This window comes from Homo sapiens, chromosome 8 (assembly GCF_000001405.40).
Source record: "Homo sapiens chromosome 8, GRCh38.p14 Primary Assembly".
Classification (NCBI taxonomy): Eukaryota; Metazoa; Chordata; class Mammalia; order Primates; family Hominidae; genus Homo; species Homo sapiens.
The window spans coordinates 143,986,037-143,998,332 of NC_000008.11; the positions used below are offsets into that span (position 1 = coordinate 143,986,037).

General features: G+C 58.7%; 2 protein-coding genes across 8 annotated transcripts in view, besides 10 other annotated features; one reads left to right on the forward strand and one right to left on the reverse strand.

Moving 5' to 3' along the window:
• PARP10 (poly(ADP-ribose) polymerase family member 10) overlaps positions 1-12,296 on the reverse strand; it is a 35,607-nt gene that overhangs the window by 8,879 nt on the left and 14,432 nt on the right. For 3 of the 6 annotated variants that reach the window (XM_011517336.4, XM_047422327.1, XM_047422328.1), the window contains exons 3-5: positions 9,514-9,704; positions 322-402; positions 19-197 (exon numbers count right to left, since the gene is read on the reverse strand). In XM_011517336.4, the coding sequence (XP_011515638.1) occupies positions 19-197; positions 322-323 (181 nt within the window). In that variant the 5' untranslated portion in view covers positions 324-402; positions 9,514-9,704. Of the gene's footprint in view, positions 1-18; positions 425-9,513; positions 9,705-12,296 lie in introns of those variants that run through there. The other 3 variants (NR_134234.2, NM_032789.5, NM_001317895.2) reach the window with 2 other exon arrangements.
• Positions 87-526: an enhancer, noted in NCBI's record as "active region_28084". NCBI's record gives its function as "activates an Ori minimal core promoter by ATAC-STARR-seq in GM12878 lymphoblastoid cells {active_cell/tissue: GM12878}" and the evidence as "EXISTENCE:reporter gene assay evidence [ECO:0000049][PMID:35858748]".
• Positions 87-1,100: a biological region, named in NCBI's record as "H3K4me1 hESC enhancer GRCh37_chr8:145060401-145061304".
• Positions 197-1,100: an enhancer, noted in NCBI's record as "H3K4me1 hESC enhancer chr8:145060401-145061304 (GRCh37/hg19 assembly coordinates)". NCBI's record gives its function as "activates a minimal SCP1, AML or CMV promoter by ChIP-STARR-seq in naive H9 embryonic stem cells {active_cell/tissue: H9 hESC(naive)}" and the evidence as "EXISTENCE:reporter gene assay evidence [ECO:0000049][PMID:30033119]".
• Positions 3,952-4,451: a silencer, noted in NCBI's record as "silent region_19647". NCBI's record gives its function as "represses an Ori minimal core promoter by ATAC-STARR-seq in GM12878 lymphoblastoid cells {active_cell/tissue: GM12878}" and the evidence as "EXISTENCE:reporter gene assay evidence [ECO:0000049][PMID:35858748]".
• GRINA (glutamate ionotropic receptor NMDA type subunit associated protein 1) lies at positions 4,020-7,379 on the forward strand. Of its 2 annotated transcripts, none has more exons than NM_000837.2 (7): positions 4,020-4,275; positions 5,164-5,566; positions 5,656-5,768; positions 5,842-6,042; positions 6,209-6,337; positions 6,429-6,572; positions 6,656-7,379. In NM_000837.2, exons 2-7 carry the CDS (start codon positions 5,188-5,190, stop codon positions 6,803-6,805), a joined length of 1,116 nt encoding a protein of 371 aa, NP_000828.1. In that variant the 5' UTR covers positions 4,020-4,275; positions 5,164-5,187; the 3' UTR covers positions 6,806-7,379. The 2 variants fall into 2 exon arrangements, with proteins under 2 accessions (NP_000828.1, NP_001009184.1); NM_001009184.2 differs by having other exon boundaries at positions 4,020-4,163.
• Positions 4,472-4,611: a silencer, noted in NCBI's record as "silent region_19648". NCBI's record gives its function as "represses an Ori minimal core promoter by ATAC-STARR-seq in GM12878 lymphoblastoid cells {active_cell/tissue: GM12878}" and the evidence as "EXISTENCE:reporter gene assay evidence [ECO:0000049][PMID:35858748]".
• Positions 4,742-5,001: a silencer, noted in NCBI's record as "silent region_19649". NCBI's record gives its function as "represses an Ori minimal core promoter by ATAC-STARR-seq in GM12878 lymphoblastoid cells {active_cell/tissue: GM12878}" and the evidence as "EXISTENCE:reporter gene assay evidence [ECO:0000049][PMID:35858748]".
• Positions 4,742-5,219: a biological region, named in NCBI's record as "Sharpr-MPRA regulatory region 3935".
• Positions 4,925-5,219: a silencer, noted in NCBI's record as "tiled region #3935; K562 Repressive DNase matched - State 1:Tss". NCBI's record gives its function as "represses a minimal TATA promoter and a strong SV40 promoter by Sharpr-MPRA in K562 cells {active_cell/tissue: K562}" and the evidence as "EXISTENCE:reporter gene assay evidence [ECO:0000049][PMID:27701403]".
• Positions 5,052-5,101: a silencer, noted in NCBI's record as "silent region_19650". NCBI's record gives its function as "represses an Ori minimal core promoter by ATAC-STARR-seq in GM12878 lymphoblastoid cells {active_cell/tissue: GM12878}" and the evidence as "EXISTENCE:reporter gene assay evidence [ECO:0000049][PMID:35858748]".
• Positions 5,765-6,266: an enhancer, noted in NCBI's record as "H3K4me1 hESC enhancer chr8:145065969-145066470 (GRCh37/hg19 assembly coordinates)". NCBI's record gives its function as "activates a minimal SCP1, AML or CMV promoter by ChIP-STARR-seq in primed H9 embryonic stem cells {active_cell/tissue: H9 hESC(primed)}" and the evidence as "EXISTENCE:reporter gene assay evidence [ECO:0000049][PMID:30033119]".

The following is a 12,296-nucleotide window of genomic DNA, read 5'->3' on the forward strand; positions in this document are numbered from 1 at the left end:
TTCAGCCAGCCCTCTCACCTGCAGGCTCTCTGAAGGTGAGGACGCCCCCACAGCCCAGTCTCTGCCAGCTCAACACAGGTCCCCCTCCAGAGCGTCGGCGGTTTTCAAAGTAGAGAGTGAGCAGCTCGTCGGGCACGGCAGGGGGCAGTCCACGGACCTCCACTGCCACCCCTGCCTCTGCCTCCGCCATTGCAACCCTGGGACGGGGCATCAGGTGGGTAGGGAAACAGCCCATTCCACCCCTCCTGCCCCTCCCCAGGCCCCTCCAAGGTGTGTCCTCAATGCTCCCCCATTATGGGTGGCCCCACATACAGCACTTACATTCCCCGTGGCCGCTAGGCAGCCTCAGGCCATGAGCTCAGCCAGGACTCCTGTGCCTGCCCCTCAGCAAGCCTAACCCTGCTGGGAGCAGGAAAACAAAAGTGAAACTGAAAGACGGAAGGAGGGAGGGAGCAGCTGGGCCCTGGGCGCTGAGGCCTGGGTACTGGGGCTCAGATGCTTCCTCTCCTGCTGCAGCCTCAACCCCCAGCTGACCAGGAGGTATTGGCCAGGCTGGACCCCTCAGGACCCTCCAGCCAACCCAGCCCAGCCCACCGGCCCTACCTGGCCCACTCCAGCCCCTGGTTGGCAGGGTAGACAGGAGTGTCCCCTGGTGGCCCTCCACTCCCCTGGCCTCCATGGCCTGAAAATGGCCAATCACCCGCCCCACTAAACCCACCAAGGGGCCTGAGTCACTGCCCCTCACTCAGGATCTCCAAGCCTCTGTGTCCATGACACCCTCTGCACACAAAGTGCTGGGTCTCCAGGCCCGCCCCCGGCCAAGGCTGGCCTTCAACGCCCCCAGCAACCTTCTCAACCCTGCTCCTGGTCCCTCACACCTGCCAGGTGCTGAGCATGGGCGGTTCCCCACCCTTGGTCTCCAAGAATGTGCATTGCAGCACAGCCTTCCTCCCGCCTCAGGTCTTGCCTGCCCATTCCTGCAGCTTTCTGTCCTGCCTGCACCTCCCCATCTCACACCATCATTGGCATCGTCACAAGTAACCTCAGAAGGTGACAAGGTAATGGCTCCACTGCATTCCTTGCTGCCGCTAATCCTCACCACAGAAAGGGAAACGGAGGTGCAGACAGGCCCATAGCAGCACCAGGCCTCAAACCTGGGCGGTGCCTTCAGAGTCCACACTCCCACTCGCCACAGATCTCCCACATCACCCAAGCTCCGTTTGCTTCCAGCCTTTCAAAGAGCTGTGGCCACTACCACTCTCCATCTCCTACTTCCCACTCACCCCTCAGCCCACCAAAACCCAGCCCCACCCCTGCTGTTCCTCCCTCCAGGGAGCTGAGGACCCTGGCCAGCCTGCACTCCTAGCCCTGCACATGCCACACCTCTGCTGCCCCGACCCTGGTCCCAGCCTCCAGCATCTCTCGCTAGGTAGCTAGGCTAACCTCTTAACTAGTCTCTGTCTGCCACTCCCATGGTGGGTCCTCAACAGAGGTGTCAGGGTGAGCCTTGTAAAATGACACCAGCAGCTGCTACAGCTCCCAGCATCAGCAACAGTAGAAACCAAAGTCCTGGGGGCCGGGCGCAGTGGCTCATGCCTGTAATCCCAGCACTTTGGGAGACTGAGGCAGGTGGATCACGAGGTCAGGAGTTTGAGATCAGCCTGGCCAACATGGTAAAACCCTGTCTCTACTAAAAATATAAAAATTAGCCGGGCATGGTGGCAGGTGCCTATAATCTCAGCTACTCAGGAGGCTGAGTCAGGAGAATAGCTTGAACCTGGGAGGTGGAGGTTGCAGTGAGCTGAGATCGTGCCACTGCACTCCAACCAAGGTGATAGAGTGAGACTCTGTCTAAAAAAAAAACAAAAACCCAAAGTCCTTTTGAGGACCTGCCCCCTGCCCAGCTGCACCTGACCAGACCTCAGTCCCTTCTCTGGCCCCATGCCCCCTGCACACCCTGATGCTCAGAGGGCTCCAGGCTCTCAGCTCTTCCTGCAGAGCTACAGGCCACTCCTGCCTCAGTAGCCTGGGACTGGCCCTTCCCTCTGCTTGGCCCTACCTTCCCCACAAACCCCCATGGCCACCCCTCTGGCATGATCTCCCTTACTCTGCCTTTTTTTTTTTTTTTTCTGAGACGGAGTTTCGCCCTTTCACCCAGGCTGGAGTGAAGTGCCGTGATCTCGGCTCACTGCAACGTCCACCCACTGGGTTCAAGGGATTCTCCTGCCTAAGCCTCCCAAGTAGCTGGGATTACAGGCACGCACCACCATGCCCAGCTAATTTTTGTATTTTTAGCAGAGACAGGGTTTCACCCTATTGGGCAGACTGGTCTCAAACTCCTGACCTCAGATGATCCACCTGCCTCAGCCTCCCAAAGTGCTGGGATTACTGGTGCCAGCCACCATACCCAGCTATTTTATTTTTATTTACTTATTTATTTATTTTTTGAGACAGAGTCACACTCTGTTACGCAGGCTGGAGTGCGGTGGCACGATCTCAGCTCACTGTAACCTCTGCCTCCCAGGTTCAAGCCATTCTCCTGCCTCAGCCCCCCCAATAGCTGGGATTACAGGTGCACACCACCACGCCCAGCTAATTTTTTTTTGTATTTTTAGTAGAGACGGGGTTTCACCGTGTTAGCCAGGATGGTCTCCATCTCCTGACCTTGTGATCCACCCGCCTCGGCCTCCCAAAGTGCTGGGATTACAGGCGTAAGCCACCGCGCCCAGCAAGCATTTTATTTTTCTTAAAGGTCTCTCAAATTTTGTGAGCTTCTGCTTCTACAAAGGTAGAAGTTACCTTCTACAAGGGTAAATCCATCCCTGCTTTTTCCACGTTTTCTCTAATGGAACTCATCACAGGTTATCCATTACGCCGACCCTGGCTGCAGAGGGCCTGCCACAGGCACCACTCACACCACAAGCAGACTGGTACAGTTTCGGGAATTTCTGTGGACTGGTTGTCCAGCTGGGGGTAACTTGAAACCAGCCCCGGTGGAGTATTCACACCACGCGCATGTGCAAAACACGCACCCCAGGCTTCCCCTCACTAGGTCCGGCTGCTAAACACTGCGCCAGCGCACCATAGGTGCAGGACTCAGAGCGGCCTGGGAGAGGCCGGCCCTCCAAGGGCGGGAGGGCAGGTGGGGTCTGGGCCCCGGGTGGGAAGGCTGGCAGCAGGATGTACCCTGCCTGTGTCAGTCACTGCTCCCCCAAGAGGACTTGGGAGCTAAGCAGGGAGGTGGCCTGGCCTCCAGTCCTGCTGCATCCCCAAGCCTCAGCCCCTCGCAGCTTGTGAGGACGTTAGGCAGACAAGCGAGCGTTCAGGGTCTCTAGTGTGAAAACAAGACATCGTATTTGTTAGTACAAAGGGTGACTGTGGTCAAGAATAATTGTACATTTTAAAACAACTCCAAGAGTATAACTGGATTGTTTGTAACACGAAGGACAAAATGCCTGAGCTGATGGATACCCCATTTACCTTGATGTGATTATTATCCATGGCATGCCTGTATCAAAACATCCCATGTAGCCCGTAAATATACACCTACTATGTATCCACAAGAATTAAAAAAATAAAAAAGGGTCTCTAGTAGCAGGCCTGGCAGAGTTTGGGCTGACAGAGCAAATGGGGCAATTAAACCACGAGGCCTCGATTTGGGAACTAAAGGATTAGGCTTCTTGATTTGGGAGAGATCTGGATGAAAAGAAGTGAACGTCGGGTTTTAAGGCCGAGAACGGACGGTCAGTCCCGGGCAGCTTCAGCAAATCCCGCATTTAGGAATAAATTTCTTAACTACCGAACGGCCAGTCAAATTGGCCAGACCAGACTTCTGCCTCCAGGGGTCTTCAGCGCCCACCGCCCGACCCCACCCCTCGGCAGACAGTGAGAGGCGGGCCTCTGGCCGGAGCGAAGAGGAACACGCAAGGCGGCGCAGCGGGAGGGGTCCGCGGAAGCCCCGCCCACCTGCCCCTCCCACCCCGAAGCTCGCCCGGCCCCGCCCCCTGCCCCGCCCCGTCACAAGGCCCCGCTGCGTCTTCCGAGCCGCAGGCGCAGGCCCAGCTGAGCGGCCGCCGAGCGGGTGCGGGTGCGGGCGCATCGGCCATCACCGCGCGGCCGCGCAGCGGACACCGTGCGTACCGGCCTGCGGCGCCCGGCCACCGGTGAGTCCCCGGCCCGAGCCCAGGAGCGCCTCTGACCCGCTGCGCCGCGCGGCCTGCCGCCCCCGCCCCCGCCCCCACGCGGATCTTGCGCATCCGAGCGTGGCCGCCTCGGGTCAGTAAGTTGGTCCGGCCGGGGCGCGCGGCAGCTCGCGGCCAGAGGTGGCGGCGGTGGTGGGGGCGGGGAGCCGCGGCGGCCTGGAGCCGGAGGGAGGGGGCGGCGCGCTGCGGCGACTGCTGGACCCGTGACCCTGTGCGCCCCCGGCCCGCGGAGGGCCCATCCGCTCTCGGTGCCAGTGCCACGGCCGCAGCCCCTACCCGCCTCGCCCCACGCCCGCTTTGTTCCCCGCACGCCCCGTGGTCGCTTCCATCCCCCACACACCCCCGCACCCCGCTGTTCCCGGCGTACCCCACTGGCAGGCACCGGCAGCCGATCCAGGCCCGATCCCCCCACCCCGGAGCCAGGGGCCGTTGGGCCCTGTTGTTGGGCTCGCGGGGGTGGGGGGGCTCGGGCCTTTGTTGGTCACAGATGGCCCGGGGATTTCCTGGGATAGAAATAGCCGCCGGCTCCGGCCCCTTAAAGCTGCTTAAGGGGCGGGATGCGGAGGGGAGGGTCCGGGCACACCCCACACGTCCCCGGCCGAGACCCCAGCCTCCGCGCTGAGCTCCCACCCGGGAGACGCCGGCAGCGGCGCAGGCCTCCGGTTGCTTGTGAGAAACGACCCAAGCCCCAAATCCCGAGGCTGGCGGTCGTCCCCTCGCCCGGCCCCTCCCCCACCCTAAAGGCGGCCTAGAGCCCTGGGAAGGCCCCACGGCGCCGCCCGTCCGGTCCTCACGCGCTTCTCCGGGCCCAGGCTCCGGGGCTCCCCACAGCCCGGGGCAAAGGTCACGGTCTTCCCTTGCTTCCCCCTGGGTTCCCAGAAGCAGGTGGAGTTGCGCAGGGCTGGGTCCCGACGCTGTCGTCAAGCCAACTGTTCCACTGTTCCTTGTCTGTCTTCTCTAGGGGCGGACCGCGGAACCCGAGGCCATGTCCCATGAAAAGAGTTTTTTGGTGTCTGGGGACAACTATCCTCCCCCCAACCCTGGATATCCGGGGGGGCCCCAGCCACCCATGCCCCCCTATGCTCAGCCTCCCTACCCTGGGGCCCCTTACCCACAGCCCCCTTTCCAGCCCTCCCCCTACGGTCAGCCAGGGTACCCCCATGGCCCCAGCCCCTACCCCCAAGGGGGCTACCCACAGGGTCCCTACCCCCAAGGGGGCTACCCACAGGGCCCCTACCCACAAGAGGGCTACCCACAGGGCCCCTACCCCCAAGGGGGCTACCCCCAGGGGCCATATCCCCAGAGCCCCTTCCCCCCCAACCCCTATGGACAGCCACAGGTCTTCCCAGGACAAGACCCTGACTGTGAGTCTCAGGAAGGGAGGGGTGGGGTGGCCGGGAGGGCAGGGGGAGGTGCTTGTGAGTGGCGCTGACCCAGCCTGTCTGCTTCTCAGCACCCCAGCATGGAAACTACCAGGAGGAGGGTCCCCCATCCTACTATGACAACCAGGACTTCCCTGCCACCAACTGGGATGACAAGAGCATCCGACAGGCCTTCATCCGCAAGGTGGGTAGGGGCATCTCCAAGGCGGTGGGGGCTGTGGCTCCCAGCGGATGACTCTGAGCGGCTCCTTCCCCAGGTGTTCCTAGTGCTGACCTTGCAGCTGTCGGTGACCCTGTCCACGGTGTCTGTGTTCACTTTTGTTGCGGAGGTGAAGGGCTTTGTCCGGGAGAATGTCTGGACCTACTATGTCTCCTATGCTGTCTTCTTCATCTCTCTCATCGTCCTCAGCTGTTGTGGGGACTTCCGGCGAAAGCACCCCTGGAACCTTGTTGCACTGGTAACCCCCAAACCTGAGCCTCTGTGCCTGGGTCCGGCCATGCAGTCCCACACGCCCACTCTTCCGGGCCTGGTCACCGTGGTTCTCCTTGTGCTCATGAGGCAGGGGCCGGCAGGGGTGGCATGGGGGCACACACCCAAGGTCAGCCTGTGTCTCCCAACTGCAGTCGGTCCTGACCGCCAGCCTGTCGTACATGGTGGGGATGATCGCCAGCTTCTACAACACCGAGGCAGTCATCATGGCCGTGGGCATCACCACAGCCGTCTGCTTCACCGTCGTCATCTTCTCCATGCAGGTGAGGGGCCTCCCGTGGCTGGGCTGTGGCCGCAGGGGCTGAGCAGCTTTCCCAGGCCCAGCCCCATGGCCCGTTCCTCTCCCACCTGCAGACCCGCTACGACTTCACCTCATGCATGGGCGTGCTCCTGGTGAGCATGGTGGTGCTCTTCATCTTCGCCATTCTCTGCATCTTCATCCGGAACCGCATCCTGGAGATCGTGTACGCCTCACTGGGCGCTCTGCTCTTCACCTGCGTGAGTGAGGGGTGACCTTGGCCGGGGGCGGGATGCTGGGCAGGCAGGCTTGTCCCTCAACACCACTGTGCTGTCACCTCCAGTTCCTCGCAGTGGACACCCAGCTGCTACTGGGGAACAAGCAGCTGTCCCTGAGCCCAGAAGAGTATGTGTTTGCTGCGCTGAACCTGTACACAGACATCATCAACATCTTCCTGTACATCCTCACCATCATTGGCCGCGCCAAGGAGTAGCCGAGCTCCAGCTCGCTGTGCCCGCTCAGGTGGCACGGCTGGCCTGGACCCTGCCCCTGGCACGGCAGTGCCAGCTGTACTTCCCCTCTCTCTTGTCCCCAGGCACAGCCTAGGGAAAAGGATGCCTCTCTCCAACCCTCCTGTATGTACACTGCAGATACTTCCATTTGGACCCGCTGTGGCCACAGCATGGCCCCTTTAGTCCTCCCGCCCCCGCCAAGGGGCACCAAGGCCACGTTTCCGTGCCACCTCCTGTCTACTCATTGTTGCATGAGCCCTGTCTGCCAGCCCACCCCAGGGACTGGGGGCAGCACCAGGTCCCGGGGAGAGGGATTGAGCCAAGAGGTGAGGGTGCACGTCTTCCCTCCTGTCCCAGCTCCCCAGCCTGGCGTAGAGCACCCCTCCCCTCCCCCCCACCCCCCTGGAGTGCTGCCCTCTGGGGACATGCGGAGTGGGGGTCTTATCCCTGTGCTGAGCCCTGAGGGCAGAGAGGATGGCATGTTTCAGGGGAGGGGGAAGCCTTCCTCTCAATTTGTTGTCAGTGAAATTCCAATAAATGGGATTTGCTCTCTGCCTTCCCCTGGTCACTCTTCTCCCTGCCACTTTCAACATGAAGTTGGGAGGGGCTCCAGGCCCTCCCTGCTGATGGAGACACAGGACCAGAAATGAATAGTGGAGATTAATACAGTGCCAAGCCTCTGCCCACACACAGCTACATCATAAGGTGTGTGTTGGGTTCCCAACTGATGGACAGAGACCCTGGGGTGCCCAGAGTGAGTTAAGCCTGTGCTGGGGTACCCCAATGGTAAGTGGCCTGGCTGTGTCTACCAGGTGCTCCGTGGAGATGGCACGGTATAGCCGCCTCACTCTTCTGTCGCCTGGGCCAGCGGCACAGGTCATTGGCCTGCCCCAGGGCAGCCTGCCATGCTCCTTGGGCGCTCCTTGGGCCTCCCCAGCTCTGTGCAGTCCATCTGTGTGGGCACCCTGATATTCCACCCAGGCCTGCCTCTCTCCAGCCTCCCCATGAGAAACACAGGCTGGAGATCCCGTCCAAGAGCTGGACAGAGACTGAGGGCTCAGCCATTTGGGCCCCTTGGCCTGCCCAGGCCCGGTCCTTTGGAGCCCTCAGCCCCAGCCTGCAGTGCGTTTCCTGCCCTGTGACGCCTGCTGCTCCTGCAGGGGGTCCCTCCATTGCCTGGGACCTGGCTGGTCTGAGCCCTGCTGAGCTCTCACACCCCGCGGCTCTAGGCCCAGAGGCAGCTTTGGACTTGGATATTCCCACTGCAGCCTCGAGGCTCTGCATGCAGCGTGGCCTGAGGATCTCTCAAGGCCCCTCCCCACTGCCCAGTCAGTCCCCTTAGCACCTCTGTGTACGAAGCCAGCACCACCCTGATGTCCGCGGGCACCGCAGTTGTGGGGTGCCCAGAGCCAAGCTCATCCTTCCTGAAACCTGCTCCTGCATTATCTCCAGGCCAGAGCAGGGGCTGCCCCGCTTCCCTCTCCCTCCCAACCTCCCCTGCCTCACCTGGCCTCCTCGCCTGCCCCGCCCTCCACCAGGACCCTAGCGGTGTGTTTCTGAAACATCAATCACATCCGTTGCACTACCCGCCTGCCTAAAACCCTCGGTGGTGCCCTCAGGATGAAGTCCACGCTCCTTAGCCTGGTACGCGGGCCCTGCCATCTGCCCACTGGTGGCTCCAGCTGCCCTCCTGTTGTCCTTTTGCCTCTCAGCCGGGGGCCCTGACCCTGCACAACCTGAGTCACGAGTGGGCTCCCTGCTGCAGTGCTGTCATTGTTCACAGACAGTCCCTCTGCCAGTGTGGGGACACACACTGCCTTCCCAGCCACGAGGGCACCTCCTGGAGTCCACCTTGCCCTCTGCAGCGGCTAATCACATGCTGAGCAGCGAGTGGGCCACACGGCTCCCCCTTCCCCCACCTCCCCTTCCGGCTATTTCCTGAGCAGGTGCAGTTCCTCCTCTGGGTGCCCGCCTGTGCTCCAGCATGCTGAGGAGGAGAAAGAACCTGCCTAGCTCTAGCTCCCAGACCCCTCAGGATTTTATACGAAAGAGGAGAATAAAGTGTTTATGTGGCTAACGAGAACGTCAGGGCGGGGGCAGGGGTGGTCTCGGGAGTAACTGCCAAGTGAAATGTGCCAGGACATTGTTTTCTTGAGGAGTTTGAGACGGACACAAACTCTTGGCTGAGAGGGAGAGGCTTTAGTGAGGCTCCCTGGGAACGGCAAGCTCCAGAGGTGTGGGACAGGGCCAGGGGGTGGAGGGTCCACAGCAAAGACCCCCACTGCCAGAGAGAAGGCCAGGGCTGAACACAGGAGGGCTTGGGCCTATCCTGCAGGTGAAGGGCACTCAGGCAGGGGCCACAGCTGGGTTTGTGTTTAGGAAGATGAGTCTGGCAATAGACGGTGCAGGGGAAGTCATGGGGCTGTGAACAGGTGAAGTGGGCCACAAGGAAGCCATTGAGACATGCCAGAGAGGAGCTGGGAGCACAGACGCCTCCAGAAGCATCGGGAGGTGCCAATTAAGCCAGGCTGGGCACAGCCGAAGGCCAGTGGGATGTGTCTGACAACTGAGAGGTCTGCTATCTGCTGTGTCCCAGCCAGGGAGTGAAATGAGTCCGAGTACGTGGTGATGTGGCCAGGCAGATGAATCGGCACGGGGTGCTCACATGGAGTCATGAGGCTGAACGCACCTGTAGCAATTGTGAGGCCACCACACTGATTCTTCAGGTAGAAAGAAGACCAGTCGCTGACATCTGGGAGCTGATCTGGTCCTATCTTGTAGGCCTCAGTGTTGCTAGGAGCTGTCCTGGCACTCACAGATAGAGGCCTTGGTGTTGCTAGGAGCTGTCCTGGCACTCACAGATAGAGCCCTCAGTGTCTCCTGGTTAAAATTGCATAGAACATCAACATCAGACTACTCTGACCATGATGGATCAATACAAAAACAAGACCCCTCTGTTATCACTCTGAACACAGACAAAACATGGGCACTGTCCAAGCTGTAAAAAGGGCAAGCAGTGCCCTGTCCCAGCCAGTCTGAGTGGCTGCTGCCTCTTCACAGCTGACAGCTCTAGCCTGGCTCTAGTCTGTCCTCCTTCCAAATACGATGCATTGAGATTCCCAGTTGCAGAATGACGCCTGCTTCCTGACAGCACCAATCCAGAGCAGAGTCCCGCTTCCCTAAACCCTCCCCCAGATTACTCAAGCCAAATCCTGTAAGAAGTCCTTTCCAGCACCCTCTTAACACGACGCCCCAGGGTGTGGACGCTCCCCCACGATGAGCAGCCACGGGCGTGTTCAAGCATGGGCGTGTCCCCGGGGCTTCACAAGGAGCACTGACACAGGTCACTGACTATATGAAGGCCAAAAAGAGACTTAAATAAAGGAATTTATTTCTCAATCAAAAAACAAGTTATATACGTAAGCAAATATTAAACCCACACTTGATTTCAAGATTAAACAACACAGACATCTATGGAACAAAATGTCCAAGTCTCCACCCCATTCCCCACCCTGCAAAGCAACGCTGTCAATCAACGGTGCCTGCTGAAACCCTAACAGACAGTTGGGGCCAGCTCTGGACCCCAGCTCAGGTGAAACCAGCACGGGAACCCCATTCCACTGCCTCTGGCTAACTGGGGCCACTGTTCTGCAGCTCTGGATTGGAAGCACCTTCAGAACAGAGACTGTGCTCTGTGAGTTTTAACATCCAGCCTAGCACCTAGTCCAGGGCCTGGCACACCACAGGCGTCAAACGTGAAAGGAAGGAATGACCTTTTCACGGCATGATCAGCATGAATGCTCACTGCCCTCACCAGGCCCAGAGGACGCCATAATCTGCTGGACCTTGGCTCAACGTCAGCATCTGAGGAGTGCAGAGAGCAACATTAAAGCCCAGGGGATGCAGGAGACACATTTGGGGAAGCAGGTAGAAGAAGGAGAGGACGCATGGGAGACTCGCAGCGGGCTGAGGAGGCCAGTCGAGGCCATAAGTAAAAAGCTCAAAAGTCTGAACTGTATATTGTAGGCAGTGATCATCCTTGAGATGGTTTAAGTAGAGGCAGGAAGATCAGTGAAGACTATGGTGATGGTGCAGGCAGGGAGACCCAGACTTGGGGGCAGCGGGAAGGGGGAGGGGAGGGACTCCTGGGGGACCTGGTCCCAGCCTTGTAGGCTCTCAAGGTGGCCCCTCCTCCGCCAGGGCCCAGATGCTGCTTCCCAGGCAGCAGGATGGCTTGGCTCATGCTGGCATCAAGACACTACAAATGTCTCCCAAATGTCTACTTTGTCTAAGGCTTGTAGGACACACTGAAGACTTTTCAGAATGCCCAAAATGCAAATACCACCCCCAACTTCTCAACTCCCATCTCTTCACTGCTGGATAATACCTCTTCTCTCTGCAGGCCCTCCACCCTCTGGACCCACTTCACTCTGTCATCCACATCTCTTGCCCTTTCACTGCAACTTCCAAACCCGAGGCTGTCGTGCAACTCCTTCCTCCCAGTCTGGCCAGCTTTTCACTGGTATCCACAGCTTCGTGGGAGGACTCGAGTACCAAGCTCAAAATCTTCCTCTCTAACCCAAATGCTATCACGACCCTTGGCTATTTCTGGTTCTATCTTCTGAACACTCTCAACTTTGTGCCCTTCCCTGAAGGCAAGGCCATGATCACCTCTATAGCAACCCCTAATCTAGCCTCAGCACCACAAAGGGATCTTTTTGATGAACAATCGAATAATGTCATTCCCCTGCTTAAACTCCTTCACTTCTTTGAAGTTCTCTTTGGAGAACTTCCAGCCAAGACGGTGGACTGAACTGAGTCCCAGGAGTTGGGACCTGAGATCCCAACTCCCACTCTTTTTTTTCCCAGCAGTAACTGAAGCAACCAACTCCCACTCTTAACACATAAAATTTGCTACACAAAATTCTTTTTTTTTTTTCCTTTTTTTTGAGACAGGGTTTTACTCTGTCACCCAGACCGGGACACAGATCATGGGTCACTGCACCTCAACCTCCCAGGCTCAAGCAATCTTCCTACCTCAGTCCCCCAAGTAGCTGGGACTATAGGTGCCCCACCACCATGCCTGGCTAATTTTATTTTTATTTTTATTTTTGTAGAAACAGGGTCTTGCTATATTGCCCAGGCTGTTCTCAAACTCCTGGGTTCAAGCGATCCTCCCAACTTGGCCTCCCAAAGTGCTGGGATTACAGATATGAGCCACCGTGCCTAGCCAAGACAAAATATTCTAAAACACTTAAATATATGTAGCTGAGCAGGAATGTAATAAATAAATGTAAAGAGAGACCCCTCAACTGTGAGGAAAGAGTTGCAGCTGTGTGATTCACAGCAGTTGCACTCAGGAGACAGGGATTCTCATTCAGGACCCACCCAGCGAAGGATCACTGGCGAGACCCCAGGCTCTCAGCTAGGAACCTAGAGGGCTTGGACCAGGGGCAGATGTGAACCAGACAG